Raw genomic sequence first — 26,386 nt, 5'->3', positions numbered from 1 at the left:
TTGAGCCCAAGAGTTCAAGACTAGCCTGTGCAACATAGCAAGACCATGTCTCTACAAAAACTGTAAAATTAGCCAGGCATGGTGGTGCACGCCTGTAGTCCCAGCTACTCACGAGGCTGAGGTGGGAGGATCGCTTGAGCCTGGGAGGTCAAGGCTTGTAGTGAGTCATGGTCATGCCACTGCACTGCAGCCTGGGCGACAGGACGAGACCCTACCTCAAAAAGAAAAAGCCGTGGAGTGCTCTCTGCTATCTTCCACCTACCTGTGGGGTCTCCCATGGTGTCACTGTCTACCCTTGCACTCAGCAGCCTGGACCTTGTCCTTCCCCTTCCAGGGCAGCAGCAACAGAACTGAATTCCTGGTCAGTGGTCCTGGGTTCTCTGCAGCGTGAGGGACTCAGCCCTGGGGCCGAAGAGGTGGGGGTGGCTGCCCTGCAGTTGCCCAGGGCCTATAACCACTACAGCCAGGGCTCAGACCTGGCCCTGCTGCAGCTCGCCCACCCCACGACCCACACACCCCTCTGCCTGCCCCAGCCCGCCCATCGCTTCCCCTTTGGAGCCTCCTGCTGGGCCACTGGCTGGGATCAGGACACCAGTGATGGTAAGTGCTGGCCCAGACTGAAGCTCGGAGAGGCACTCTGCTTGCCCAGCGTCACAGTCTCAGCTCCCAACTGTCCTGGCTTCCAGTCTCCCTTGCTTCCCAGATCCCAGACTCTAGCCCCAGCCCCGTCTCTTTCACCAGCTCCTGGGACCCTACGCAATCTGCGCCTGCGTCTCATCAGTCGCCCCACATGTAACTGTATCTACAACCAGCTGCACCAGCGACACCTGTCCAACCCGGCCCGGCCTGGGATGCTATGTGGGGGCCCCCAGCCTGGGGTGCAGGGCCCCTGTCAGGTCTGATAGGGAGAAGAGAAGGAGCAGAAGGGGAGGGGCCTAACCCTGGGCTGGGGGTTGGACTCACAGGACTGGGGGAAAGACCTGCAATCAGAGGGTGTCTGCCATAGCTGGGCTCAGGCATCTGTCCTTGGCTTTGTTGCCTGGCTCCAGGGAGATTCCGGGGGCCCTGTGCTGTGCCTCGAGCCTGACGGACACTGGGTTCAGGCTGGCATCATCAGCTTTGCATCAAGCTGTGCCCAGGAGGACGCTCCTGTGCTGCTGACCAACACAGCTGCTCACAGTTCCTGGCTGCAGGCTCGAGTTCAGGGGGCAGCTTTCCTGGCCCAGAGCCCAGAGACCCCGGAGATGAGTGATGAGGACAGCTGTGTAGGTACGAGTGGGGCATGCTGGGAGTGGGCAGAAGCCACTGTGAAGCAAACCTCAGTTAGGACTAGAGAACTGGCATAGGCATCCACACCGCCGAGCCTAATTAGGGGGCTCTTTCACCCCCTGGGATGGGAACAGCCCTGTTAGGGCTGAGAGGCACAGGCACTTTGGAACTCTACAGGTTTGGAGTTTAGGTGAGAAGAGGAATCTCTGAGACCTGACTTGGGTTTCTGGGGAAGTGGCAGGCTTCCAGCAGGGACCCAGCGAGCCTGCACAGGGTAGGGCTCCCAGTCAGAATTCCGGCATTAAGTGACTGGCATGCAAATTGAATGCAAAGTAATTCCTGGGACGGATATTATGTCTTGATGATAAGAGATGCACTAATGAGTCAGGAATACGGGAGGCAGGCCCATCCTGGAGGGTGCAGACGGGTGGAGCAGGGGAGTGACAAGTAGGGGCATTCCCACGAGGCTGGGACAGGGGTCCCATCAGACCAACAGGGCTAAAAGCTCAGGCCCTGGCTTGCGAATCGCAAGTCTGCCACTTGCCTGTAGTTACAGAGCAAGGAAGTCTCTTAACCTCTCTGGAACTTTGGTTACCTTCAGTAATGAGGGGAACAAAATTCAATTTCAAAAGCTACTGTGAGGATTTGATGGGAAGTGGGAAGTGCTTAGCAAGAAGTCAGATGAGGCACTTATCTGTTTCAGCCTGTGGATCCTTGAGGACAGCAGGTCCCCAGGCAGGAGCACCCTCCCCATGGCCCTGGGAGGCCAGGCTGATGCACCAGGGACAGCTGGCCTGTGGCGGAGCCCTGGTGTCAGAGGAGGCGGTGCTAACTGCTGCCCACTGCTTCATTGGGTGAGTCTTGGATCCCTCTCTGCTGTGCCCCCTGCCCCTGCCGGCAGCCCTGTCACCTGGTGCCGTCCACACTGCCTCTGCACAGGCGCCAGGCCCCAGAGGAATGGAGCGTAGGGCTGGGGACCAGACCGGAGGAGTGGGGCCTGAAGCAGCTCATCCTGCATGGAGCCTACACCCACCCTGAGGGGGGCTACGACATGGCCCTCCTGCTGCTGGCCCAGCCTGTGACACTGGGAGCCAGCCTGCGGCCCCTCTGCCTGCCCTATCCTGACCACCACCTGCCTGATGGGGAGCGTGGCTGGGTTCTGGGACGGGCCCGCCCAGGAGCAGGTAGGTGGGCACAGGGCCAGGGCTGCTGTCCATCCAACCTGCAGGCCGGGGCAGCCAGCTTTCCCTTGCTCCACAGGCATCAGCTCCCTCCAGACAGTGCCCGTGACCCTCCTGGGGCCTAGGGCCTGCAGCCGGCTGCATGCAGCTCCTGGGGGTGATGGCAGCCCTATTCTGCCGGGGATGGTGTGTACCAGTGCTGTGGGTGAGCTGCCCAGCTGTGAGGTGAGCCCCAGGCCCCCACACCTTACCTAACAGGCCCCTGGCATCCCCTCACCCAATAGCTCAAGAACGGACCTTCCAGGCTTGGCCTCTGGACCCACCTCCCACCTGAAACTAAGCCTTTTTGCCAATTAGCCCCCAAACAGCCAGAGGTTCCCTAGCCTGCTCTACCGTCCTGCACAGCTGCCTATAAAAAGTCACCCAGTGTCACCTGACCCCTGACAGGGCCTGTCTGGGGCACCACTGGTGCATGAGGTGAGGGGCACATGGTTCCTGGCCGGGCTGCACAGCTTCGGAGATGCTTGCCAAGGCCCCGCCAGGCCGGCGGTCTTCACCGCGCTCCCTGCCTATGAGGACTGGGTCAGCAGTTTGGACTGGCAGGTCTACTTCGCCGAGGAACCAGAGCCCGAGGCTGAGCCTGGAAGCTGCCTGGCCAACATAAGTATGTGGCCCCGGGGCCTCCTGCCAAACCCTGCCTCTCCAGGACCCTTCTCTCTCCAGTGAGAACGTGCCGTTCTAACCCACTCCAGCTGCCTTGGGTAGGGTGGAGCAACAGGCAGACCCATTTGATTCAGATTCTGGTTCTTTGTCATCGTGTGACTTGGAGCAGGCTGCTCAACCGCTTTGAGCCTCAGTATTCTCATCTGTCATGGCGGCCAAGACAGACCCTGTTCCTTCGAGGAATGGGGAGGGAGGGAGGGACCAAAGCCGTGAGGATGAGGACAACTCCACCCTCCTTCCTTCCCCACAGGCCAACCAACCAGCTGCTGACAGGGGACCTGGCCATTCTCAGGACAAGAGAATGCAGGCAGGCAAATGGCATTACTGCCCCTGTCCTCCCCACCCTGTCATGTGTGATTCCAGGCACCAGGGCAGGCCCAGAAGCCCAGCAGCTGTGGGAAGGAACCTGCCTGGGGCCACAGGTGCCCACTCCCCACCCTGCAGGACAGGGGTGTCTGTGGACACTCCCACACCCAACTCTGCTACCAAGCAGGCGTCTCAGCTTTCCTCCTCCTTTACCCTTTCAGATACAATCACGCCAGCCACGTTGTTTTGAAAATTTCTTTTTTTGGGGGGCAGCAGTTTTCCTTTTTTTAAACTTAAATAAATTGTTACAAAATAGACTTTAGAAAATAAGTTACAAATTGTAGCAAAAGGCTCCCTTCCACAGGCAACTTTCCCACCGGTGGGGCTCTGCATCCGCCTCTCCCTGGTGTTGCAATCTGGCTGCTGAGGGTGGCGCTGAGAAGAGCACGGTGATGAGGCTGGGGGAAGGAGGTCCTTCAAGGACAGGGACGCGAGGAACACCCCACCCCCTCCTTGGGAAAGAAGCCAGATCTGGGTCCTCTTCACAAGGGGAGAGGAGAAGATATGGGGATGCCCGAACTACTCCTGAGAAAATGTGGAGATCAAGCCCCTCCCTGCACGCGCTCCCTCCCCCAGATTCTGATCTTTGGAGACTTGAAGTTCAGAGGGAGAAGCTGAGGTCTGCAGGCCACTGGGGTGAAGGATCCAGGAGTGGGGTCGTGGGGGTGGGTGGAGGGGGCAATGGCAAGTCCCCTCTGCCCGTCACTGGTGCCACTGGGGCTCCTGGGGGGAGAGAGAGAGGAGGTCACCAACTGAGGGGCAGACCCCGCACAGCGTGTACCCCCTCCCAGCCCTGCAGGCCATTCCCCTGCCCCTGGCCCCGGAGGCCCAGATGAGAACAGGGATTCTAGGCCTCCTAATTATTTTCCCAGCCCTGGCAAACTGGCTCCTCCCTCATATCCCTTGAGGTCATGAGAAATCTTCTATCCTTAAAGCCATTCCTTCAGCTTTCAGGTGACTCCCACCTGCCCTCTGCTCTGACAAGGCCTGTCAAGGGCCCACCATCTCAGGGCCACCCACCCTCGGTGGCCACTAGATGGAATGGGTCCGCCTCTACTAGGGGAGGTGGAGAGGCCAGCCCAGGTCCTGCTGAGGGAACCGGCCGCCCCACTCCCTGGCAGCTGCGGCTTCCAGCAGTGCTGGGTGGAGGCGATTCCCCACGGAGATGCCCTCTGATCAGGGATGTGACACGGGCTAATGACTGTTGTTGCTGCAGCTGGGCCTGGACTTCAAGGAAACAATTATCTGTGACTCAGTCCTCCAGTTAAAGGTGTGCAGAGGGTGGCAGGGTGCGCAGGTAGAAAGGGTGGTTTGGTTGGATCCTAAAAAGGCCGTTGGCAGCAGAGGGAAAAGGGGCTGAATAAAGGTTAGAGAAGAGATGGGAGCAACACTGACAGGGAAGGACCAGAGGTCTAGTTTCCAAGGAGAGGAGCAGCAGAGACAAGGCGCAGGGAAAGAGGGACAGGGAGTAGGGTGCCAACCAGTGAACCAGTTTCCGTGGCCAAGTCAGCAGGGAAGCCGTGGAGCCCATGCCCCATCCCTTGTTCCCTGGCACCCGGCCTGCTCCAGGAAAGAATGGAACCTAGACCAAACCAATGGCTTCCTCTTTTTCTCTGGAAGTCATTACTTTACTGGCTGACTCAGGAGGGTTTCCAGACACAGCAGCCAGGGGGTACCCAGTGACCTTCCCCTGAACAGAAAGACCATTCCATTCTGGCTACAGTGTAATGGAGGAGCCCAGGTAGCAGCCTCGGCCTGACCACGCCCCCACGTGCTGCCCAACCCACCCTGCTATTTGTTATACCTGACTTGCGGGTGCTCAGCTCAGCACATCCTCAAGCTACTTCTCTCACCCCATAGCCAAGCCCCCACCCACCTCTTAGAATCCCCGGGGCTCTCTCCTCTCACTCCTTGCTCCCCCACCGACTTTGGGGCTGGACTTCCCCCTCCACTGTGTGCCCACCTCCTCCTGGGACCCTTCATGCCCCCTACCGGAGCCGGCCACCGTCCACTCCTCCTGGTGCTGCTGCTGGTGCTGCACGAAGCTGATTCGGCGGCGGAAGTGGCGGGGACAATGGGGGCAGGTGAAAGGCCCCTCCCGGGGTGCATGGACCCGCCCGTGGCCCTCCAGCCGGGCAGCTGTCCGAAAGGCCTTGCCACAGATGCTGCAGCAGTGGCGCTTGGGGTCCGTGTGGGTCCTGCTGTGGTTCTTAAGAGACAGCAGGTTAGGGAGAAGTTTGGGACAGAGGGAGCACGGGTACAACCCTGTGGTGTGGGCCTTCTGGTGGTTCAGCAGGCTGCCAGCATGGCGGTAGGAGCGCCCGCACTGGGTGCAGCGGAAGGGCCGCTCCTTGTCCTCAGCCGCCATGGACGTCACCGCTTGTCCTCCCCTGGCTCTCTCCACACTCTCTCCTGGGCCTCTGGGGGTTTCTGATGGGGCCTCCTGGGCTTTCCCTTGACCAGGGAGAACCACCTGGTCCTCCCCAGTCCCGGCTTTGGGATCTCTGGCCTCCTCCATCTGGGCTGGCACCTGGCTGTGGCCCCGGGCATGAGCCTGCAGGTGGCTGGCCAGTTCCTGGTGGGACTCAAAGGCTTTGCCACAGTCAGGACAGGCAAAGGTCTGGGCGTCTATGTGGTTGTGGCTGTGGCTCTTTGTGGCCACAGGATTTAAGAACTCCTTGGAGCAGAGCAGGCAATAGTGTCGGTCTGTCTTGTTGGTGTTGTGGTTCAAGAGGCTGCCTGACTGGCAGTAAGTCTTGCCACACTGGCTGCAAGAGGAGTGGCTCCCTGGCTGCAGCTGAGAGCTGTTGTCTCTGTTGTCCCAGCTATCCATGTGACTCAGAGTAGGTCCATTGAGCTGGCAGTCACCAGCGTGGCAAGGACTCCTGTGGACACTGTCCTCTGGCTCCTCTGACCTAGTTAGGAACTGAGGAACCCAGCCTCCACTATGATTCCCCAGTCCCCCACCTACCGGCCACCCACCTGCCTTCCCTGCACCCCAGGACAGTGGCTCTGGGGCTTCTGAGCTTGCTGCCCTGATGGGGCTCTGACTGCGCTCCCCTGGCCTTGGGACTCCATCCTCCAAGTGGGGTACTGGCTCAGCACCACCCAATTGGGTCTCTAGTCCCTGGCTGCCAGTCAGGTTCGCCTCACTGGCCGCTGTGCCATCCAGGCCTCCCTGGCCATTGGCTGGCTCCCTTTCTGTCTCCTCATGCTCCCGCAGGTGCCGCTCCAAAGATCCCCGGCCAGGGAAGCTGCGGCCACAGAGGGCGCAACGCACAGCTGTGCGCCTGGACCGTCCAGCCCGTCGCCGCCGATTCTCTGAGTGCAGCCTCTGGTGGTCCTTCAGGGCCATGCGGTTGGAGTAGGTCTTGGGGCAGGTGGGGCAGCTGTACTGGCCCGTCTCGTGGCTGCGCCGGTGGTTCAGGAGGCTGCCGGCGTGGCGATAGGTCCGCCCGCACTGCCCACAGCGGAAGGGCCGATCTTCCCGAGTCGCCTTTCGGGTGCCCCCACCCCCACGCCGTTCCATGTGGACCCGCTGGTGGCTGGCCAGCTGTTTCCGCAGGCGGAAGGCCTTCCCACACTCGCTGCAGCGGAAACGTCGGGGATCTGCATGGATGCGCCGGTGGTTCTTGAGGGACATGAGGTTTGAGAAGCCCTTGGAGCAGGCCTGACAGCCAAAGTGGCCGGTCTGGTGGCTCTGCCGGTGGTTGATGAGGCTGCCGGCGTGCTTGTAGGATCGGCCACACACCTCGCAGCTGAAGGGCCGCTCAGAGCTGGCTTCAGTCTGGCAGCCCTTCTCGGCAGTCTCCAGCCTGGGCTCTATCTCCTCCCCCTTCACAGTGGTCTCCTCCCACACCTCTTCTTTCACCCTGGCCACTTCCTCCAGGGGCTCCACTTTAAGTTCTTCCTGGAGCTTCTCGACTTCTGCTTGCCCCGGCCCCTCCTCTGCCATGTGCTGGGGCTTGTTGCTGCCTCCTTCTGGGATGGGCCCAACCTGCAGCTCACTGCTACCTGCTGCCTCTGGGATGGGCCCAACCTGGGGCTCAGAGCCTTTGCAGCGAGGGTGGTTCCGCAGATGATTACGGTAGGCAGCCAGGTTGGGGTAGCAGCGGGAGCAGACAGGGCAGAGAAAGTCTCCAGTCTGGTGGATCTTGCGGTGGTTCACCAGGCTGCCCCCATGGCGATAGGTCTTGCCACACTGGTTGCAGCGGAAGGGGCGGGGCTGAGCCTCCAACAAACTTTCCCCACCCTGGATGCAGAGGCTGTCTCCCAAGGGGGTGCCTGCTCCCTCTTGAGACTTGGCATCTCCACCCTCTCCAGAGACAGAATTCACTATGTCCTCCAAGACACTGTCCACGACCATCTCCATGGCATCACCTGCCACTCCCAAGGGGCTGGGAGCCTTGTCTGCAGTAGTCCCAGAACTCTGACTTTGGTGGTGACGCTCCAGGCTCCCCAGGTCATCGTAGGTCTGACCACAGCAGCCACAGATGTGCCCATACCCTGCACTGTCCAGCGCTTCCACCTCCCGCTGCAGCTGATTCAGCAGCTCTGCTTCCGAGAGCTGCAGTGGTGGACTGCGTGCAGGGGCTGCCTCTGCCACTCCTTCCTCTTCCCCCTCCTCCTCTGAGCCCTCAGTCATGCCAGAGGAGCTGTGGGCCTGGCGCCGGTGAAGCCTGTAGCCAGCCCGCCCAGGGAAGATCATGCCACAGAGGCAGCAGAGGAAAGGCTGTGCTGAGGTCGCCTCCCCAGGCCTATGGTTCTGGAAGTGGCTGCGGAGGGCAGGCAGAGAGTCAAACTCCTTCGGGCAGAGGGAGCACTGATAGATGCCTGGTGGGTGGCAGGGCCTGTGGCTCAGCAGGCCAGTGGCATGGGGGAAAGAATGCCCACAGTCAGAGCATGTGTGAGCGGCCCCAGCCTGCCAGCCAGTGACAGCATTGGCAGAGTGGGAAGAGGAGTTGGGTTGGCCAGTGGCTGGCTTCTGGTCTTCATCCACCCCAGTGAGGCTATCGCAGAAGTGAGTGCCACCACCTTCCTCACCTGGGATGTCCAAGTTGTCAAGTAAACTGGCATCCTTCCTTTCCAGTCCTTCCCCAGTGCCTCCGCTCTCTTTATCACCCTGGAAATGGGTCTCATCCCTCTCAAGCCCACATTTGTCCCCTTCAGATTCAGCCTGCAAACAGTCCCCATCACTTTCCAGGTTGCCTTCAGCCCCATGAGGACTTTCCCCTGAAGGGTCTTGGGGAGACTCCAGGCCTTCATTGTCTTCTAGCTCCCGGGTCCAGCTCTCCGCTGCCAGGAGTTTGGCTTCTCTCCCACCGCTGGCACCGCCAGCCCGCTTCCGATGCCGCCTGCTCCGCCGCCGACTGTGCCGGCGCAAGTGGTTCTTCATGGCAGCCATGGTGTGGAAGTGCTTGGCACAGGCCCCACAACTGAAGTCTCCTGTCTGGTGGGTCTGCCTGTGGTTGATAAGGCTGCCTGAGTGGCGATAGCTCTTTCCACAGTCTCGGCAGGCAAAGGCCCTAGGAGGTGACATTGTGGTCTCTGTTCTGCTATTTTCCTTTTCCCCTGCCCCATGAGTCAGGCCATGACGTTCAAGGCTCTCAGCGTCTTCAAAGAGCAGCCCACAGATGCTACAGATATGTGCTGCTGTCTTGTCTGCTGCTGGGGTGATGTCCGTGGCCTCTTCTTCATGTTTGCACACATGGTCCTGATCTGTGTGCGGGGCTGCCTCTGCCTCCACTGGGTCAGGCGGGAGTTCTACCTTGAGGTGGCTGGGGGCACCCTCAGCCCCGATGTCTGCACTTCGGCGAGCAGCCTTGCAATGTACCCGCACGTGGTTGCGCAGGGCCATGAGATTGGGGTACTTGCGGGGACAGAGTGAGCACTGGTACTCTCCAGTCCGATGGCTGTGGCGATGGTTCACCAGGCTCCCCCGGTGGCGGTAAGCACGACCACACTCACTGCACTTATAGGGCCGATGGTCCAGGGTGGTGGTGGGGTCCTCTTCCTCTTTGTGGGTGGTCTCAGCCAGCAGCAGGGGAGCTGGTGGGACTGATGGCTGCCCATTTTCCCCAACTCCTTGCCTGGGCCTGTGATGAGCCCGCACATGGTTTTTGAGGGCAGCCGCATTGAACAGCTGCTTAGAACAGAGTGAGCAGGGGTAGACACCTGTCTGGTGGCTCTTTCGATGGTTGATGAGGCTCCCAGCATGGCGGTAAGTACGGCCACAGTCCCCACAGCGGAAAGGCCGGTATTCCTCCAGGCCACTGTCCTCCAGCTCCCCAGAGGTGCTGAGCTCCGCAGAGCCATTCAGCATCTGTGCACTGGGGAGCTGGTCCTGGCTGCTCTCATCTGTGTGCCCATTGGTGGTGGGCATCCCTTTCTCCTCCCAGCGTGGCTCCTGCCTTTCACCCTCATGGGACTGCTGGTGTTCCAGCAGCTCCCGGGGGAGCCGGAAGACACGGGGGCAGTGGGGACAGTGGTAAGGCCGATACTGGGCATGCAGTCGAGAGTGGTTCTTCAGAGCCATGAGGTTAGAGAACTCCTTGAAACAGATGGCACAGGGGTAGATGCCCAGCGTGTGGCTCTGGCGGTGGTTGGTGAGGCTCCCGGCGTGCTTGTAGGTCTTGCCACACTGACTACATTTGTACCGCCGCTCCTCCTCAGCAGGAGGGGACTGGGTGGGCTCCTGGCCCCCTGTGAAGTTCACTACTGATTCAGCCAGATACTGTTCCAAGTTGCTAAGAAGGCTGCTGGCTGGGATGGGGAGAGGAGGGGCTCTGGCAGAGTTAGTGGAGGGTCCCCAGCCGTCTGCACCATCCTCAGGACCTGGGTGGCTTGCCAAGCCTTCTCTTTGTCTGGTGGGCAGATCTTCCCACGTACCCGAAGCTGCCCTGGGGTCAGGTACAGATTCACAGTCAGGTGTCTCTTCTGTATGTTTTGTCTGGTTTTCCCAGCCTTCACTAGAGCCAAGCCTTTGGCCCCAGGAGTCAGTGGACACCGTCTCACCCTGGAGGTGTGGAGTGGCTTCCTTGGGGCGTGGGGGCCTGTGCCTGCGGCGGCCCTCAGGAGCATGTGTCCTCATATGGCTCTTGAGAGCCATGGGATTGGAGAAGTCCTTGCCACAGGTGGTACAGGGGAAAAGGCCAGTCTCGTGGGTCCGACGATGGTTAACCAGGCTCCCGGGGTGACGGTAGCCCCGCCCACACTGCTGACAACGGTAGGGCCGAGGGATGCTGTCAGCCTCCTCACTGTCCTGGTTGGGAGATGGATGGAGCAGTTCTCGGTGCCGAGAGAGCTCTGGGAGGCTGGGAAAGTGGCGCTGACAGTCGGAGCAGCTGAGTGAGGGGGGTGTGTCCTCCATGGGGCAACGTAGCAGAAACCTGGAGGTTCAGAAGGAGCAGACACGTGGCAGCACCTTCCTCTGGTGGAGGGGCCAAGGCCTAGGAAGAGGGGGCAGTGGTCAAAAGGAAGGCCTGAATTAACTTCGCCTCTTGGCTCTACGAGCAACAAGTTCACCTGAGGTCACTGAGAGGTTCCCCAAGCATCCATGCCCAAGGACCTAATTTCTACTAGATCCAATCTGCAGGCACCATCATTTAAGGCTTCCCTGTGCACAAGCTTCCCAAATATAGGAGCTCCCCTAGGCTTAAGTCATCCCTACAGGTATAGCTAAGGAAATTAAAGTTGAGAGAGATGCAACCTACTTCTGATCACAGACCTGTTATGTTCTTCAGACCAGACTCAAAAGGCATTACTGTCCTTTAAGAACAGTAGGAATCTGCTCCCTACAATCCTGAAACAAAAATTTTCTGTGACATCTTAAAAGGACACCAAAACCTTCTCTAGGCCTTTCAATAAGAGAAGTCCAAATCTTCCTACTTCATCTCTCAGCTAAACAGAGTAGCTGAGAAGCACTGAAAAAGCAGCTGTTTCCTCCAGTTAATAGCTGAGGACCTGAGAGGAGAGGTTAGAGGCCTCCTTCAGGGAAAGGGCTGGCTTGTTCCCCCACCACCCCGAGTCATTTCAGTGTCACAAGGTCTCTTTTCCTTGTGACAAGAGAGTTAAGAGAGTTAAGACTCTCTTAACTGGGCCAGGTGTGGTGGCTCACGCCTGTAATCCCAGCACTTTGGGAGGCCGAGGCTGGTGGATCACCTGAGTTCAGGAGTTCAAGACCAGCCTGGACAACATGGTGAAACCCTGTCTCTACTAAAAATACAAAAATTAGCCGGGCGTGGTGGTGGGCACCTGTAATTCTAGCTACTCAGGAGGCTGAGGCTGAAGAACTGCTTGAACCTGGGAGGTGGAGGTTGCAGTGAGCTGAGATCCCACCACAGCACTCCAGCCTGGGTGACAGAGCGAGACTCCATCTCAAAAAAACAAAAAACCCCAAAAGACTCTCTTAGCGACTTCTTTTATCTACTTCCCTTGAACTCAAACTATCTTCCATCTTGGGAATAACATCAATACCAGGTTGTAATGTCACTTCATTGCCTACCTTTTCTCTCCCATGCCTCCTGATCTTACCCTCACCAGTCTTTCTCATTTTTTTCTTCTGCCTCCTCTCTTAATACTGATGATGACAGCAACTCATGAAGAGTATTATATTACCATGTGCCAGGCACTGTGCTAACTATATTCATTGTGTTACTCAATCCTCAGAACACACGGCAATGCCTGTTATTCTAGTTCACGTAACAGCAAACCCCCTGACTGAGGCGGTCTTCATCCCAAAGCCCTTGCTCTCTCATGCCCCCTACATCGTCTTGTCCTTCTCCAACTCTGACTCTTCTTCCCATGGGACCCCAGTACAACTGTCTCCGACCGTAAACCCCTTCACTGAACCTGCCCCCGGAATTCTCACCTCACAAAGCCCCTTTGATCAAAAGTCCCCTCCCCTAGTCAACCACCAATGAAGTCCTCTGACCTCACTCATCTCGTCTGCCAATTTCCTCTCAGGACGCCTACCTCGCACCGGCGGCCCCCTCTCCTTCCCGCCGCGGGCGCGTCAGTTGGGGACCGCGAACAAGAGCGCGCCTGCGCACTGGGACCCTTACCCTAACTGCAGCCGCGCGCCCCAAGGGGTGGCTGTCGGGGGGCTCTCGCGCTCCCACACACGCACACTCAGCCAGGGTTCCCGGGAGGTGGGAGGGAAGGGAAAGAGGGAAAGGAGAAGGGGGGAAGAGGAAGGAGGTAGAGAAAAGAGGGCGCAGCTGGCATGAGCCAGGAGTCTACTCCCAGCTCTACGGACACTTCCTATTGTTACTAGGAAACAGGAAGTGTCCTTAGGTGCAAAAGCTTCCCCGCGAAACTTCCGCTTCGGGAGCACTGCCTGTCCCGCCTCCGAGCCGCAGTTTTACGCAGACACACTTCCGGCGCTAAGTTCTAGGTCTGCACGGCTGACTCCGCCCACGTAGGTCACAACGCGGCGTCTTTGCACGCTAAGCTAGCCACACTTCCGGCAAGAGCAGCTAGAATCGTTCCGGTGCATATTGAATAGGCGCAGAAAGGGAGAAAAAGATTCTACAGCCCTGGCCACAGTACTTTGGTGACACTTTTCGTGGGGCTCTCTGGAGGACTTTTCCCAAGGCAGATGGAGAAAACTTCGTGAAACCCACTCCTTGCTATTAAAGGAAATGTTGTGGAATATAATTGGACTTAGGTTTTGCAGAGCTTGAGCATGGCCTTTTTGTCCTCCCACCTTCTGGTTCTTGAAGACATTGCCGGTGACCTGGCCCCAGACTAACACAAGGCGGGCGTATACCGTCAGCCTGCCTGGCGTCCCCTTGCCTCAGCACACACAGAGACCTCTTGCAAGATGCTTCTCTGCCGCCATAGGCTGGAGGTTCCCCGGGAACTTTCCCTTCCTTCCTAGCTGAGGAAGATCCCTCACTTCCGCTCGCCGCGCCACCGGTCCCACCTCCCCGCCCCCCGCTGGGTCCTAGCGCCGGCCCCTGTTTGGCAGGGTCCGGGCTCCGTCGGTGCGAGGAGCCGACGCCGACGCCACGGAGTCAGCACAAGTCTCATCAGGTAGGAAACGTCGGCGGGAAGCCGCGAGGGCCCCGGGCAGCTCCCACGCGGCCACGATCCGAGCTGGCCTCAGTTTCCCTGCGGGCGCCGAGGGCGGGCCGGGTTGGCCCAGCGCGAGCAGCGCGGGCGGGGCGGGCTGTGAGCGGCCCCGGGCGCATTGCGGGCCCAGCAGGTCCTAGAACCCGCCGGCTGTCTCCGCGGTTCTGGGCTGCGGACACCCAGGCTCGGCCCGCGCGGCTGCTGGCCCGGCGCGGTGTGGTCCCGGGGGTCCTAGAGCCCGCCATGTTTTGGGTTTTTGTCCCGGTCGCGTGGCCCGCGCTGCAAGATCCCAGGCGCCGGCGGCCCCCTCCCCTGCTGAGGCCCGGCCACCACTCCCGCGGTCCTAGAGAACGCCATCTTGCAAGCCTTTGTCCCTCATTCGGCCTTCCGTCCATTCATTTGTTCATCTCCTCATCCTTCGTTCAGTCCTCCTTGCCACGTCCTCCGAAGCCACGTTTTCTGAGGCTTATAACCGGGGTCCTGCCCTCCAGGGGCTGCCTGGCTGGCGGGGGCGCCGCGTACAGACGGTTGCGAGGAGCGAGGAGCTCCGGGTTTCTGCAACTCTCGGCTCCTCGGCGCGCTTCGTAGGCCCCACCGCCCTTCAAACTCCCACAAACTTAAGGGACCCCATTTTACTGATGAGGAAACTGAGGTCCAGAGCGGCGTGGGGCCCTTACCTCTCTACTGCCATAAAGTATTCCTGAGGGCACTAGGGAAGGGGGTTCTTGAAGGATGTAAAGGGGCTTTCCCGTTGGAGAAGGCAGGCAAGGGCTCCCCGAGCCCAGGAAACTGCATCTAGAGGTGGAGGATTGAGAATTGTGGCTGGAGGTTCGGTCGCTGCCGGGAGGAGGACTCTGTCGCTGGAGCTGAGGCTGGAAAAGTAGGTTGGGATCAGGTTGTGAACTGGCCCGGTAGGAGGCCTAGGATATGATTAGCGCTCACTTCTGCAGGGTTCATCCGCTCACTACGTCACTCCTGGCCGTGAGGCCTGTGTGGTGACTGCTTGTTTAGAGATGGGAAGATTGAGGTGCCTCCTTTTTCTCCTCATCCCTGCCCCAGGGTCCTAGCCTAGGATTTTTGGAAATTGAATCTTTGCTTGCCTAGTGAGACAGCAGAACTTCATCCCCTTCCTAAGCCAGTAGTGAGGCAAAGCAAGGCTTCATCGCCACGACAGGGAGCCCACTGTGGGATATTGGGGCAATAGTTGAGCCTTGTGGAGTTGGAAAGGTGGAGGAATTTAGTTAATAAACAGTTATTGGTGGACATTCTCACAAACTCCTACTGTGGAGGAGGCAGAGGCTACAGACCTGGGTTCAAATTTCATCTGAGGTTGGTTCTTTCCATTTGTTTTGGGTCACCACACAGGGTTCTGGGTGTAGAGGAGGCAGATGATCGGTTTCCTAGCCCTTTGCCAGCCTGGACTCTGGTGCTGGTGATGAAGAATTAACAGCCAAACCATAAGATGTGTAATGCTAGCAAAGCAATAGTCAGGGCTCAGAGAGCAGGTGTTTGGGATTTGAACACTGGCTGGGACCGTGACTAGTAAGCTTGTTTCTTTGTGGTGTCACTTCTCATAAGAACGCTAATCCTACTGGACCAGGGCCATACCCTTATGACGTCATTCAGCCTTAATTACTTCCATAAAGGCCTTGTCTCCAAATACAGTCACAATGAGAGTTAGAATTTCAATATATGAATGGACAGGGAACACAAACATTCACTCATAATGAACTGCTAGGCAGCTGTGCAGTTGGCTTGAGTAGTTGAGTATTATGCACAAAATGCTTAGAATGATACCTTGCCCATGGTAAGCTTGCAAGGAGTATTGTCCAGATGACACCATAAAGGAAATTAGAGAGGAGGGGTGCTGGTCACTGTGGCTCATGCCTGTAATCACAGCACTTTAGGAAGCCATAGTGGAGGAGCATCTGAAGCCAGGAGTTCTTGAGACCACTGTCGGCAGCGTAGTGAGACCTCCATCTCTATATACAAAGAATTTTTAATAAATTAGCGAGGTGTGGTGGTGGGTGCCTATAGTCCTAGCTACTCAGGAGGATTGCTTGAGTGCAGGAGTTTGAGGCTGAAGTGAGCTATGATTGAGCCACTGCACTCCAGGGTGACAGAGTGAGACCCAATCTCTAAATAAAAATAAAGGCCAGGCACGGTGGCTCACGCCTGTAATCCCAGCACTTTGGGAGGCTGAGGCGGTCGGATCACTTGAGGTCAGGAGTTCGAGACCAGCGTGGCCAATGTGGTGAAACCCTGTCTCTACTAAAAATACAAAAGTTTGCCAGGTGTGATGGCTTTCGCCTGTAGTCCCAGCTACTCGGGAGGCTGAGGCTGGAGAATCACTTGAATCCGGGAGGTGGAGGCTGCAGTGAGCTGAGATGCAGCCACTGCACTCCAGCCTGGGCAACAAAGACTTTCTCTCAAAGAAAATAAATAAATAAAAATGAAATAAATAGGCCGGGCATGGTGGCTCAAGCCTGTAATCCCAGCACTTTGGGAGGCCAAGGTGGGTGGATCACCTGAGGTCAGGAGTTCCAGACCAGCCTAGCCAACATGGCCATCTCTACTAAAAATACAAAAAATTAGCTGGCTGTGGTGGCAGGCACCTGTAATCCCAAATACTTGGGAGGCTGAGGCAGAAGAATTGCTTGAACCCAGGAGGCAGAGGTCGCAGTGAACTGACATCACACCATTGCACTCCAGCCTGGGCAACAGAGGGAGACTCTGTCTCAAATAATAATAACAATAAATAATAAAATAAATAAAAATAAGCCAGGCACGGTGGCTCATGCCTGTAATCCCAGCACTCTGGGAAGCCGAGGCAGTGGATCATCTGAGGTCAGGAGTTCGAGACCAGCCTGGCCAACATGGTGAAACTCCATCTCTACTAAAAATACAAAAAATTAACCAGGCGTGGTGGTGGATGCCTGTAATTCCAGCTACTCGGGAGGCTGAGGCAGGAAAATCTCGTGAACCGGGGAGGCGGAGGTTGGAGTGAGCAGAGATGGTGCCATTGCACTCCAGCCTTGGCAACAAGAGTGAAACTCTGTCTCAAAAATAAATATATAAATAAAAATAAAAACATTTTTTAAAAAGTAAAGAGGGCTGGGTGCGGTGGCTCATGCCTGTAATCCAAGCACTTTGGGAAGCCAAGGTGGGTGGATCACTTGAGGTCAGGAGTTCAAGACCAGCCTGGCCAACATGGTGAAATCCTCTCTCTACTAAAAATACAAAAATGAGCCAGATGTAGTGGCGGGCGCCTATAATTCCAGCTACTCGGGAAGCTGAGGCAGGAGAACCGCTTGAACCCGGGAGGCGGAGGTTGCAGTGAGCAGATATTGTGCCATTGCACTCCAGCCTGGGGGACAGAGTAAGACTCCGTCTCAAAAAAAGGGCCGGGCGCGGTGGCTCACACCTGTAATCCCAGCACTCTGGGAGGCCGAGGCGGGCGGATCACGAGGTCAATAGATCGAGACCATCCTGGCCAACATGGTGAAACCCCATCTCTACTAAAAATACAAAAATTAGCCGGGATTGGGCCGGGTGCAGTGGCTCACGCCTGTAATCCCAGCACTCTGGGAGGCCGAGGCAGGTGGATCACGAGGTCAGGAGATTGAGACCATCCTGGCTAACACAGTGAGACCCTGTCTCTACTAAAAATACAAAAAATTAGCCGGGCGTGGTGGCGGGCACCTGTAGTCCCAGCTACTCAGGAGGCTAAGGCAGGAGAATGGCATGAACCCGGGAGGCGGAGCTTGCAGTGAGCCAGGATTGTGCCACTGCACTCCAGCCTGGGTGACGGAGTGAGACTCCGTCTCAAAAAAAAAAAAAAAAAAAAAATAGCCGGGCGTGGTGGCGGGCACCTGTAGTCCCAGCTACTTAGGAGGCTGAGGCAGGAGAACTGCTTGATAGATAATCATGAGATTCCGTCAAAAAATAATAATAATAATAAAGAGTAGATAGAGAATGATTATCAGGGGTAAAGATAGCATTGAGAAAGGTAGTCATTCAGTGCTCCTTGGTTGGTTAAAAAAGGAAAAAATTTGGAATATTAAAAGGGGGGAAGAAAAGGAAAGGTGGTCAAGAAAGCTCTTTTTGAGGAGGTGACTGGGAGCTGAGATCCAAATAACACCAAAAAAGACAGCTACACAAAGATCGTGGGAGAAGAGTGGCTCAGACAGAGGGAACTGCTAGTGCCACTGCCCTGAGGTGGGAAGGAATTTAGCTCTTTGAGGAGAAGAAAGGAGGCCTCTGTGGGTAGAGCCCAGTGGGCCAGGGAGAGGAGTGGGAGGTGAGGTAGGCAGGTGTGTGTGTGTGTGTGTGTGTGTGTGTGTGTGTGTGTATTTTTAGTAGAGATGGGGTTTCACCATGTTGGCCAGGCTGGTCTCAAACTCCTGGCCTCAAGTGATCTGCCCAGGTAGGCAGGATTTAGATGGTTTGGGGCTATGCTGGCCATGGAAAAGATATTGGTCTTTTTCCTGGGAGCAGTGGGAAGTCTCATGATTCAACCTGGGGGAGAGAATGGAGACTTGGGTTCGAGTCTGGCTCCTTGACCAGCTGTGTGTCCTTGTGTACAGTTTTTCCTTTGTGGGGACCTTAATCTCAATATCTGAAAAAGAGGTGTAGTGAACACTTAAAATGCTCCTCTCCTGAGAGCTCGTGGAGACCTAAGGATGTGTGTTTGGTTCTTAAGTATTGGTTGGGCAGGCACGGTGGCTCACGCCTGTAATCCCAGCACTTTGGGAGGCTGCGGTGGGAGGATCACTTGAGCCCAGGAGTTCTAGACCAGCCCAGGCAACATAGCAAGACTTCATCTCTACTAAAAATAAAATAAAAATTAGCCAGGCATGATGGTGCATGCCTGTAGTCCCAGCTACTTGGGAGGCTGAAGTGGGAGGATTGCTTGAGTCTGGGAAGTCAAGGCTGCAGTAAGCCATGACTGCACCACTGCACTCCAGCCTGAGCGACAGAGTGAGATCTTGTTTCAAAACCAAACAAACAAAAGTATTGGCTGGAATGATCCAGAGTGTATTTAAAATACAGATTCCTGAGGCCTACCTCAAGCTCTTTAATAAAAAAAAAAAAAAAAGTCTGGGCGTGGTGGCTCTCGCCTGTAATCCCAGCACTTTGGGAGGCCGAGGCGGTCGGATCACGAGGTCAGGAGATTGAGACCATCCTGGCTAACACAGTGAAACCCCGTCTCTACTAAAAATACAAAAAACTAGCCAGGTGTGGTGGCAGGTGCCTGTAGTCCCAGCTACTCAGGAGGCGGAGGTTGCAGTGAACCAAGATCGCGCCACTGCACTCCAGCCTGGGCAACAGAGTAAGACTCCATCTCAAAAATTATATATATATATATATATATATATATTTTTTTTTTTTTTTTTTTTAATGGTGGGATGTTAGACAGAGACCTAGCCTACCTGGCCTCTTTGTGTAGCTGGGCGCATGCTGAGACCAACCTGGCACTCCCCTACCTTTTCCCCTGGGAAGTGCCATGGGAGGAGGGATTTCCCCTCCAGCTACCTGGTGTCTAACTCACAGATAGGAAGGCTGAGACCCAGAGCTGGCAAGAGGCAGTAGAAGGGCCAGAGCTCAGAACCACTGGGTCAAGCCCTCTGAGAGGGAAGCAGAGACATAAAGGGTGCCGGCCAGGGTCTCAGGGCAGTTCTGCAAGGATGAGAGAAGACACAGGTATGACCTGAGCTCAGGGTTCTGGTCACTGTGGGGCTGGCGGAGGCAGCAGACAAGCGTAAGAGGCCCCAGACCACTGAGCAAGACCCCAGCAACTTAAGGCAAATTAAACACCTGGACTGAAGTCCCAGCTGCTTAGGTTACCCATTGTGGGACCATGGGCAAGTCACTTAACTCTTGGAACCTCGATTTATTCCTCTGTAAAGTAGGGACAAGAATCCCTATCTCAGAAAGGTATAAGACATTAAATTAAATAAACCAGCACACCCAGCAATGTGTCTGGCTCTAAGAAGACGCTTTGATAATTGAGGACAGTAATTATTTTTGACTCATTCATTCCTCACCCAACTCTGTCAGGTAAGTACTGTCATTATCTCCATTTTTCAGATTAGAAAACTGAGGTTCTAAGACATGCAGTACATTACACACGGTCACATCAGCTGGGAAGTGATGGAGGCAAAATCTGAAGCCAGACAGTTTGGCTTCAGGGACTGGGCACTTAACAAAATACTGAACCATTTCTCTGGACCTTGGTTCCCTTATCTGTGAAAATGGAATAATAGAACTTTCCTCATGGGGTTGCCATGAAGGGTAACTGAGCTAATACACATAAGGAGTTTAGGATACTGCCTGGTATTTGGCGAGTGCTCAGTAAATGTGAACTATCTTTTTTATCATTTATTTATTTATTTATTTTTGAGATGGGGTCTCACTCTGTTGCCAGGCTGGAGTGCAGTGGCACCATCTTGGCTTACTGCAACCTCAGTCTCCTTAGGCTCAAGCATTTCTCCTACCTCAGCCTTCTGGAGTAGCTGGGAGTACAGGCATGCTCCACCATGCCTGGCTAATTTTTGTATTTTTTGTAGAAATGGGATTTTGCTATATCGCCCAGGCTGGTCTTGAACTCCTGGGCTCAAGGGATCCACCCGCCTTGTCTTGAACTCCTGGGCTCAAGCGATCCACCCGCCTTGGTCTCCCAAAGTGCTAGTGTGAGCCACTGAACCTGGCCCAAGCTATCATTTTTATTAAGGAGGAACATTATCAGGCAGACTCTCCAGAAACCGTCTGGAAGAGGTAGTGAGTACCTCATCCAGAAATAGGGAGGGATCCCTTGGAAACTGTAGGAAGAATTCAAGTCATCAGAAAGGTTAGAATTCAGTCCCTTTAACTTATCTTCAAGCCCCAGGATTGATTATTGATTGATTGATTGATTGAGACAGTGTCTTGCCCTGTCTCCCAGGCTGGAGTGCAGTGGTACAGCCTTGAACTCCTGGGCTCAAGCAGTCCTCCCACCCCAGCCTCTCAAGTAGGCAGTACTACAGGCACATGCCACCACATCTGCTAATTTTTATTTTTAGTAGAGATGGGGTCTCACCAGGTTGCCCAGGCTGGAGCGCAGTGGTACGATCATAGTTCCCTGCAGCCTCGAACCCCTGGGTTCACAGGATCCTCCCGCCTCAGCCTCCCACGTAGCTGGGACTTAAGGCGCATGCCACCACACCTGGCTAAGCCCTAGGATTTAGTGGGAAAAGTGAAATAACCAAGTGAGAATAAGATGGAGTTTTGTGGGATTGGGGCCAAACCCAAAGGGGAGATGCTTGAGGATCCTCCTGGTGGAAGTGGGGCTCCAGTGAAGGACTTGTCAGATTTGGAACAAGCAGGAAGGACCTGGGGATTTGCATGGTGTGGTGGAAGCCATGGAAAGTTCTTGAGCAGGGAACAGGAAACATCATTCATTACTTTTGGGAGAAGACCGGCTGCATGGGGTTGGGGAGGGAGGGCAGCGTGCAGGCCTGAGGCCGGGATTTCAGGCAGAAGGGTGCTGACTTTAAGGATGTGGCCCTTGCCACGCGTCAGGGGCTCCTGTGTCCTCCCTGGGTCAACCAGGTAAGCTGCTTCTCCCGCCCTTTCCTGGCATAAGGGGCCCTGAGTCTCTGTATTTCCCCTAGCACCCTCGTGGCTCAGCTCAGTTTCCTCCTCCTGAACCCCAGTGTCATAACTTAGAAGCCACCAACCCCTAACGTGTCCAGATGAGGAAATAGTCTTTTTATTTTTTTTTTTTTGAGACGGAGTCTTGCTCTGTCGCCCAGGCTGGAGTGCGGTGGCACGATCTTGGCTCACTGCAAGCTCCGCCTCCCAGGTTCACACCATTCTCCTGCCTCAGCCTCCCGAGTAGCTGGGACTACAGGCGCCCGCCACCACGCCCGGCTAATTTTTTTGTATTTTCAGTAGAGACGGGGTTTCACTGTGTTAGCCAGGATGGTCTCGGTCTCCTGACCTCGTGATCCGCCCCCCTCGGCCTCCCAAAGTGCTGGGATTACAGGCGTGAGCCACCACGCCCAGCCGGGCGGAAATAGTCTTATAAACAACACTCATTTCACTGAGGTCTCATAGTAATCCACAGGGCTGCAAGTAGAACGTAGGCCCCCTAGCCTCTGGGCACACCTGGCTCCCTGCAGCCCCCACTCCTCAGACCCCTTCCCCCAGCAGCAGCTGCTGAGCACTCCTTAAGTGGATCTGCCATAATCCTCTTCCCTTCATCCCCCAGGGAGGATGAGCTGGTGTTAAGACTAATACAGCCATTAATCCTGTTTCCTCCCAACCATGATCCCCAGGAGCAGCTGGGTGGAGGGCGTCTGGGTTCTGGACCAGAAAGTAGGGATCTCAGCTAGAGCTGGTATCCCAGGAGGCCATGTTAGATCAGATACATCAGTTATGACTCAGAAAGAGGCTTCCAGCTGCTAGCAATGGCTCAGGCTGCCTTGAGTGATTCTCCATTACCAGAGTTGTGGGAACAGGCCAACAAGATTCCAGAGCAGAGAGTGGACAGATTCCAGTCTGGGGCGGAGGCCCGTACAGCTGTGCAAGGCCAGAATTCTGTGTGAACAGTTGCTGTCTCTGAGGACTAACCATCCAGAGGAGGAAAGAAAACACAAATGCTGGGGACCTGTCACTTCCAGACAGTGCCAGCTACCAGATTTAGCCCATTGGCTCAGCCCTTTTCTGGTCCCAGGTCTGTCTTTTCTGGGCGCTTGGAGACCTTCAGGCCAGGCCCACGTCTGGGTACACTCTTTATCCTGGCATAGTTCTTGGACACTGAGCTGAAGAAGGAAGATGGTGAGACAGATGGAACCTGGGCCTCTGGGAATGCCACAGTGTTTGGAAAAGCCCGTTGGGGGCGGGGGGGGACGTGTAGGTGAATCTTTTGTGACCCTCAGCCTCCTTTCTTAGTGGCTCTGCGGACACTTGGTCCAACTCCTTTCTTCAATGAGCAGATCAGGGAGGAAACGAACGCAGGATGTCAGAGCCAGGAATGCTGGGCAGGAAGGATGTGTGGGTTCCGAGGTGAGAAATGCAGATGAGATAGGGTTCTCTCTGAGGCTTTCAGGAGTGGCGAAGGTATGTGGCTTTGGTCTAACTTTGCTTCTCTTGCAGAGAAACCCCGTTCACCAAGGCCATGGAAGTGGAGGCTGCAGAGGCCCGGTCCCCAGCCCCCGGCTACAAGCGCTCGGGCCGCCGCTACAAGTGCCTGTCCTGTACCAAGACATTTCCAAACGCGCCCAGGGCAGCGCGCCACGCTGCCACACATGGGCCGGCAGACTGCTCTGAAGAGGTGGCCGAGGTGAAGCCAAAGCCAGAGACAGAAGCTAAGGCAGAGGAAGCCAGTGGGGAGAAGGTGTCAGGCTCCGCGGCCAAGCCTAGGCCCTATGCGTGTCCGCTATGCCCCAAGGCCTACAAGACGGCACCCGAGCTGCGCAGCCACGGGCGCAGCCACACGGGGGAGAAGCCCTTTCCGTGCCCCGAGTGCGGCCGCCGCTTCATGCAGCCCGTGTGCCTGCGCGTGCACCTGGCCTCGCACGCTGGCGAACTGCCCTTCCGCTGTGCGCACTGCCCGAAGGCCTATGGCGCGCTCTCCAAGCTCAAGATCCACCAGCGTGGCCACACAGGCGAGCGGCCTTACGCCTGCGCCGACTGCGGCAAGAGCTTTGCTGACCCTTCAGTGTTCCGCAAGCACCGGCGTACTCACGCTGGCCTGCGGCCCTACAGCTGTGAGCGTTGCGGCAAAGCCTATGCGGAGCTCAAGGACCTCCGCAACCATGAGCGGTGAGGGTGCCTTCCGGGGCAGGGCGCCTTCCGGGGCAGGGCGACAGCGTTGCTGCAGCCAATGGGGCCTGGGTTTGAGTCTCAGGGTAAAGTGAGCCAATGGGAAGGTGGGCATGGCAGATCCAAGGGGAGGGGCTAGGCATGTGGGAGAAATTGGTGCCCCTGATTGGGCAGAGGTGGCAACCACCTTGAGGTTGATCTCTGAGAATGGGATTGGGTCAGATTGGCCTCCGTTGTAGGCCAGCTGGAAAGGGGGCGGGGTTTGGAGTTGGGCAGTTCTGAGGGTCTTTTGTGGAGACCAGGAGGTGTGAGTGGGGCCTGGTTTGTCTAGGTCATTTTTTTTTTTCTTTTTCTCAGCCTCTACATTAATGACATGTTTCTAGGCTGGGCACAATAGCTCACGCCTATAATTCCAGCACTTTGGGAGGCTGAGGCAGGAGGATTGCTTGAGCCCAAGAGTTCAAGACCAGCCTGGGCAACACAGCAAGCCTCGTCTCTATAAAAATAAAAAAATTACCCGAGCGTGGGGATGTACACTTCTAGTCCCGGGTACTTGGGAGGATAAGGTGGGAGGATGGCCTGAGCCTGGGAGGTCGAGGCTGCAGTGAGCTATGGTCAGGCCACTGCATTCCAGCCTGGGGAACAGGAAAAAAAAGGCGGAGGACACGTATCTTGGTTTTCTGTTTTGTTTTGTTTTGTTTTTGTTTGTTTGTTTTTTGAGACGGAGTTTTGATCTTGTTGCCCAGGCTAGAGTGCAATGGCGCGATCTCGGCTCACCGCAACCTCCGCCTCCCGGGTTCAAGCGATTCTCCTGCCTCAGCCTTCCGAGTAGCTGGGATTACAGGCATGCGCCACCATGCCCGGCTAATTTTGTATTTTTAGTAGAGACGGGGTTTCTCCGTTTTGGTCACACTGGTCTTGAACTCCTGACCTCAGGTGATCCGCCCGCCTCGGCCTCCCAAAGTGCTGGGATTACAGGCGTGAGCCACCGCGCCTGGCCATGTCTTGGTCTTTTTTTTTTTTCTTTTTCTTTTTTTTTTTTTTTTTTTGAGACGGAGTCTCGCTCTGCCGCCCAGGCTGGAGTGCAGTGGCAAGATCTCGGCTCACTGCAAGCTCCGCCTCCCGGGTTCACGCCATTCTCCTGCCTCAGCCTCCCGAGTAGCTGGGACTACATGCACCCACCACCACGCCTGGCTAATTTTTTATAGTTTTAGTAGAGACGGGGTTTCACCGTGTTAGCCGGGATGGTCTCGATCTCCTGACCTCGGCCTCCCAAAGTGCTGGAATTACAGGCGTGAGCCACCGCGCCCGGCCCATATCTTGGTCTTTAATGTGCAGAGACAGGTCTTTGGAATAGAGACACCCAGCCAGCCTGAAGGCTTCTTCCTCTGGGGTGCAGCCATGTGGCTCTTAGGGGATTAAGCCTAGGCCCCCACGAACGTTTGGGGAGCCCCTAAAGTACAGCCCAGACAGGCAGTGGGGTCACGTTATGGGTCTGTCGCCTTCATGCCAAGTCCTCCACACCCCCGCAGGTCCCACACCGGCGAGCGCCCCTTCCTCTGCTCCGAGTGCGGGAAGAGCTTCTCCCGCTCATCCTCGCTCACGTGCCACCAGCGCATCCACGCGGCACAGAAGCCCTACCGCTGCCCGGCCTGCGGCAAGGGCTTCACGCAGCTCAGTTCCTACCAGAGCCACGAGCGCACGCACTCGGGGGAGAAGCCCTTCCTGTGCCCGCGCTGCGGCCGCATGTTCTCCGACCCCTCGAGCTTCCGTCGCCACCAGCGCGCCCATGAAGGGGTGAAGCCATACCACTGCGAGAAGTGCGGCAAGGACTTCCGGCAGCCGGCGGACCTGGCCATGCACCGGCGTGTGCACACAGGCGACCGGCCGTTCAAGTGCCTGCAATGTGACAAGACGTTCGTGGCGTCCTGGGACCTCAAGCGGCACGCGCTGGTGCACTCTGGCCAGCGGCCCTTCCGCTGTGAGGAGTGCGGGCGAGCCTTCGCCGAGCGTGCCAGCCTCACGAAGCATAGCCGGGTGCACTCGGGGGAGCGCCCCTTCCACTGTAACGCATGTGGGAAATCCTTTGTGGTGTCGTCGAGCCTGAGGAAGCACGAGCGGACCCATCGAAGCAGTGAGGCCGCGGGTGTGCCCCCTGCACAGGAGCTGGTGGTGGGGTTGGCGCTGCCTGTGGGCGTGGCAGGTGAGAGTTCAGCCGCCCCGGCAGCAGGGGCGGGGCTGGGGGACCCTCCAGCAGGGCTGCTAGGGCTGCCCCCGGAGTCAGGTGGTGTGATGGCCACACAGTGGCAGGTGGTGGGCATGACGGTGGAGCATGTGGAATGCCAAGATGCTGGTGTCCGGGAGGCTCCTGGTCCCTTGGAAGGGGCAGGCGAGGCGGGGGGTGAGGAGGCTGACGAGAAGCCCCCCCAGTTTGTGTGCCGAGAGTGCAAGGAGACCTTCTCCACAATGACGCTGCTGCGTCGGCACGAGCGCTCACACCCGGAGCTCCGGCCCTTCCCCTGCACCCAGTGCGGCAAGAGCTTCTCTGACCGGGCTGGGCTGCGCAAACACAGCCGCACTCACAGCTCAGTGCGCCCCTACACCTGCCCCCATTGTCCCAAGGCCTTCTTGAGTGCCAGCGACTTGCGCAAGCATGAACGCACCCACCCTGTGCCCATGGGGACCCCCACACCCCTGGAGCCCCTGGTGGCTTTGCTAGGAATGCCTGAAGAGGGGCCGGCCTGAAGCCCATGACCCCCCAGCACCACACTCCGGGAGCCCAGCCCCCATCGGGGGCTTCCTGTACCTCCTTTTGCCTGGCTCTGCTCTTTAGACTCCAGATCCCTACCCCTCAGCAACTAGCTCCCCTGTCGGCCAGCTAAGAGAGCTGGGACAGTGGAGGCTGGCAGAAGCTGAGACGTGACTGTCTAGGAGTAACACTCATTAAAGCTTTCATTTTGGCACCA

General features: G+C 56.7%; 3 protein-coding genes across 19 annotated transcripts in view, besides 8 other annotated features; 2 read left to right on the top strand and 1 right to left on the bottom strand.

The window, feature by feature from the left end:
• PRSS53 (serine protease 53) overlaps positions 1–3,796 on the top strand; it is a 5,507-nt gene extending 1,711 nt beyond the window's left edge. Inside the window, exons 4-11 of one of the 6 annotated variants that reach the window (NM_001039503.3) lie at positions 335–600; positions 742–896; positions 1,050–1,269; positions 1,973–2,123; positions 2,209–2,453; positions 2,530–2,675; positions 2,898–3,114; positions 3,424–3,796. In NM_001039503.3, the coding sequence (NP_001034592.1) occupies positions 335–600; positions 742–896; positions 1,050–1,269; positions 1,973–2,123; positions 2,209–2,453; positions 2,530–2,675; positions 2,898–3,114; positions 3,424–3,443 (1,420 nt within the window). In that variant the 3' untranslated portion in view covers positions 3,444–3,796. Of the gene's footprint in view, positions 1–334; positions 897–1,049; positions 1,270–1,972; positions 2,124–2,208; positions 2,454–2,529; positions 2,676–2,897 lie in introns of all 6 variants that reach the window. The other 5 variants (XM_011545819.3, XM_011545820.3, XM_011545818.4 and 2 more) reach the window with 5 other exon arrangements.
• Positions 3,037–14,546, bottom strand: ZNF646 (zinc finger protein 646). Of its 9 annotated transcripts, none has more exons than XM_047434956.1 (3): positions 14,291–14,546; positions 5,532–10,987; positions 3,037–4,262 (listed from the first exon to the last, which is right to left on the bottom strand). In XM_047434956.1, exons 2-3 carry the CDS (start codon positions 10,906–10,908, stop codon positions 4,141–4,143), a joined length of 5,499 nt encoding a protein of 1,832 aa, XP_047290912.1. In that variant the 5' UTR covers positions 10,909–10,987; positions 14,291–14,546; the 3' UTR covers positions 3,037–4,140. The 9 variants fall into 9 exon arrangements, 8 of the variants coding, with proteins under 8 accessions (XP_047290912.1, XP_011544292.1, XP_005255769.1 ...); XM_011545990.3 differs by lacking the exon at positions 14,291–14,546 and adding an exon at positions 13,246–13,460; XM_005255712.5 differs by lacking the exon at positions 14,291–14,546 and adding an exon at positions 12,472–12,811 and having other exon boundaries at positions 5,503–10,987.
• Positions 12,045–12,577: an enhancer, noted in NCBI's record as "H3K27ac hESC enhancer chr16:31085977-31086509 (GRCh37/hg19 assembly coordinates)". NCBI's record gives its function as "activates a minimal SCP1, AML or CMV promoter by ChIP-STARR-seq in primed H9 embryonic stem cells {active_cell/tissue: H9 hESC(primed)}" and the evidence as "EXISTENCE:reporter gene assay evidence [ECO:0000049][PMID:30033119]".
• Positions 12,578–13,111: an enhancer, noted in NCBI's record as "H3K27ac hESC enhancer chr16:31085443-31085976 (GRCh37/hg19 assembly coordinates)". NCBI's record gives its function as "activates a minimal SCP1, AML or CMV promoter by ChIP-STARR-seq in primed H9 embryonic stem cells {active_cell/tissue: H9 hESC(primed)}" and the evidence as "EXISTENCE:reporter gene assay evidence [ECO:0000049][PMID:30033119]".
• Positions 12,933–13,072: an enhancer, noted in NCBI's record as "active region_10744". NCBI's record gives its function as "activates an Ori minimal core promoter by ATAC-STARR-seq in GM12878 lymphoblastoid cells {active_cell/tissue: GM12878}" and the evidence as "EXISTENCE:reporter gene assay evidence [ECO:0000049][PMID:35858748]".
• Positions 12,993–26,386, top strand: ZNF668 (zinc finger protein 668). Of its 4 annotated transcripts, NM_001172669.2 has the most exons (4): positions 22,204–22,433; positions 22,548–22,661; positions 22,752–23,420; positions 24,953–26,386. In NM_001172669.2, exons 2-4 carry the CDS (start codon positions 22,615–22,617, stop codon positions 26,163–26,165), a joined length of 1,929 nt encoding a protein of 642 aa, NP_001166140.1. In that variant the 5' UTR covers positions 22,204–22,433; positions 22,548–22,614; the 3' UTR covers positions 26,166–26,386. The 4 variants fall into 4 exon arrangements, with proteins under 4 accessions (NP_078982.3, NP_001166139.1, NP_001166140.1 ...); NM_024706.5 differs by lacking the exons at positions 22,204–22,433; positions 22,548–22,661 and adding an exon at positions 12,993–13,574; NM_001172668.2 differs by lacking the exons at positions 22,204–22,433; positions 22,548–22,661 and adding an exon at positions 13,731–14,493.
• Positions 13,317–14,117: an enhancer, noted in NCBI's record as "H3K27ac hESC enhancer chr16:31084437-31085237 (GRCh37/hg19 assembly coordinates)". NCBI's record gives its function as "activates a minimal SCP1, AML or CMV promoter by ChIP-STARR-seq in primed H9 embryonic stem cells {active_cell/tissue: H9 hESC(primed)}" and the evidence as "EXISTENCE:reporter gene assay evidence [ECO:0000049][PMID:30033119]".
• Positions 13,383–13,842: a silencer, noted in NCBI's record as "silent region_7408". NCBI's record gives its function as "represses an Ori minimal core promoter by ATAC-STARR-seq in GM12878 lymphoblastoid cells {active_cell/tissue: GM12878}" and the evidence as "EXISTENCE:reporter gene assay evidence [ECO:0000049][PMID:35858748]".
• Positions 13,731–14,025: an enhancer, noted in NCBI's record as "tiled region #2047; HepG2 Activating DNase matched - State 1:Tss". NCBI's record gives its function as "activates a minimal TATA promoter and a strong SV40 promoter by Sharpr-MPRA in HepG2 cells {active_cell/tissue: HepG2}" and the evidence as "EXISTENCE:reporter gene assay evidence [ECO:0000049][PMID:27701403]".
• Positions 22,328–22,955: an enhancer, noted in NCBI's record as "H3K27ac-H3K4me1 hESC enhancer chr16:31075599-31076226 (GRCh37/hg19 assembly coordinates)". NCBI's record gives its function as "activates a minimal SCP1, AML or CMV promoter by ChIP-STARR-seq in naive H9 embryonic stem cells {active_cell/tissue: H9 hESC(naive)}" and the evidence as "EXISTENCE:reporter gene assay evidence [ECO:0000049][PMID:30033119]".
• Positions 22,956–23,583: an enhancer, noted in NCBI's record as "H3K27ac-H3K4me1 hESC enhancer chr16:31074971-31075598 (GRCh37/hg19 assembly coordinates)". NCBI's record gives its function as "activates a minimal SCP1, AML or CMV promoter by ChIP-STARR-seq in naive H9 embryonic stem cells {active_cell/tissue: H9 hESC(naive)}" and the evidence as "EXISTENCE:reporter gene assay evidence [ECO:0000049][PMID:30033119]".

The sequence above is a fragment of the Homo sapiens genome, chromosome 16, assembly GCF_000001405.40.
Source record: "Homo sapiens chromosome 16, GRCh38.p14 Primary Assembly".
Classification (NCBI taxonomy): Eukaryota; Metazoa; Chordata; class Mammalia; order Primates; family Hominidae; genus Homo; species Homo sapiens.
The sequence above is the reverse complement of the archived record's forward strand: the minus strand, read 5'-3'. Positions and strand labels throughout refer to the sequence as shown.